Source organism: Homo sapiens, chromosome 1 (genome assembly GCF_000001405.40).
Source record: "Homo sapiens chromosome 1, GRCh38.p14 Primary Assembly".
NCBI classification, from domain to species: Eukaryota; Metazoa; Chordata; class Mammalia; order Primates; family Hominidae; genus Homo; species Homo sapiens.
Window position 1 is genome coordinate 102,106,369 of NC_000001.11, and position 1,828 is coordinate 102,108,196.

At 36.1% G+C, this 1,828-nt stretch overlaps 1 pseudogene, besides 1 other annotated feature; it reads right to left on the reverse strand.

Moving 5' to 3' along the window:
* Positions 1 to 222: 222 nt before the first annotated feature.
* LOC124904645 (uncharacterized) lies at positions 223 to 321 on the reverse strand (annotated as a pseudogene).
* Positions 861 to 1,576: an enhancer, noted in NCBI's record as "OCT4-NANOG hESC enhancer chr1:102572785-102573500 (GRCh37/hg19 assembly coordinates)". NCBI's record gives its function as "activates a minimal SCP1, AML or CMV promoter by ChIP-STARR-seq in primed H9 embryonic stem cells {active_cell/tissue: H9 hESC(primed)}" and the evidence as "EXISTENCE:reporter gene assay evidence [ECO:0000049][PMID:30033119]".

The following is a 1,828-nucleotide window of genomic DNA, read 5'->3' on the forward strand; positions in this document are numbered from 1 at the left end:
CTCAAAAACCTACTTATCAGGGCTGCTAATTGGAGTGTGTATTCAGGGCAACTTGAATCTATGCTCCCAGGAGGCCATACTTAACCATTTTGCTTGAATAAACTCTCTTTAAACTAGATTCTGAAGTTTTGATTATTTTAGGTTAACAAATATGTATATTACTATTGTCTATCCTACTGTGTGAAGTGGCCTATGAAGTTTTCTCTTGTGTTTTTATGTATTTTATGTTTTTCTCTTGTGTATTTATGTATTTTATGTATTCCCTTTTACTGATAAGAACAGATACTATACTTGATCTTAGCCAAAAGGCTGAGAAGTGATTACATCTCCCTGTAAAAATGTAAATGAAGGTCTTTTAAAACAATTTTTTAAAATAATTTTTTCCATAACTATGTTTTTCAAATTTTGATATTTTGGGGTTGTAATTTTCAGATTTTTAGACTTTAGAAATTTTGATCTTTCAAAATTTCAACATTCAGGGTTATGACATCTTCTGTGATTATGGCCCAAACCCCACCCTAGAAGGGACAGGGATTATACATTTGACATCTACTTTGTATTTGGGTTTACCTTTCTTTACCATAGTACCACTTTTGTCTCTAGCATGTTTGACTCTGCTAGAGTGAACTTCCTGGTTCCTGAGGATGTGGAAAATGCCTCTACTGGGGAAATCACTCTTTGTTATATGGAAAATTAACACTATCACCTGTTCACTTTGGTTTTTTTCATTCTGGTAGACTACCAGTCAAAGAAAGAAATTACTATACTATCAGGGATAATTGACTCTAATTAAAATGAAGAACTAGGATTGTTGTTAAATAATGGAGGAGGAATATGCTGGAATCCAAGATACTCTCTTCAGAGTCTCTTGAGGCTTTTAGGACTAGTGATAAATTTGAATACACATTACAGCAACCATAGGCTGACAATGGTAAAGCCAAGAAGAGCTGATACTGTTTGGAAATTTGGGTCTTGTTACAACTCAGAGCAGCCAAACTGATGACTGAGGGTGAGTGAAAGTTAGAAGGATGTTGAAAATTATATCTAATAAATATTAAATATGACCTAAAGATCAGTGGCTGCAGTGTCGATTGTGGTTTACTTTCTTGCCACAAGACTTTGCAGATAATTTGTTACAGGACCACCAGTTTCATCTGCCCACTGCACAATAACAGACCAATATATTGAATAGCAGGGGTTGCAACAGAAAAAGAGTTTAATAGTCACTGAGCAGCCAAACAAAGAGATGGGAGGAGCCCTACAATCCATCCTCCTCAGGGGTTCTGACCTAGGGTTTTTAAGGTGATTGTTGTAGGCAAGGGGATAAAGAGTTGGGGGTCATAGATCAGTCAGGGTGAGGGGGAAGGGATCATTAGGATGTGAAAACTGCATTCTTCAGTTGCGTTAGTGCCTCAGTGAGGGCCCTCAAACTAGCTGGCATTGGTAGTTTCACGGGAATGAAAGATCTAAAAAATATTTCAAATGGAAAACTTGAGGTTTCTCAACATTAAAGATGTTATCTATAGAAACGATTAAGGGAAATTAGTACCTTGGGACCTTGTCTGTGTGACTTACAGGCAGTAAGAAACTAAGAAAGTAAACTAAAGAGTAAGTTGGTTAATGGTTAATGCTAAGCTGTAACTCTCTTCTAAGTCGATGTTTTTGTCAGAAACTTCTGACAACTGATTTTATTAAATTTGTGAGGATGTATTAATTTTTGTGAATCATGATCTTTACAGTGACTCAGTGTTGGATTTAAGGGAAGAAACATTTGGAAAAGTGTAGTACAAGGGGTTACCTGTATCAGATAATGCTTGTACATGACATC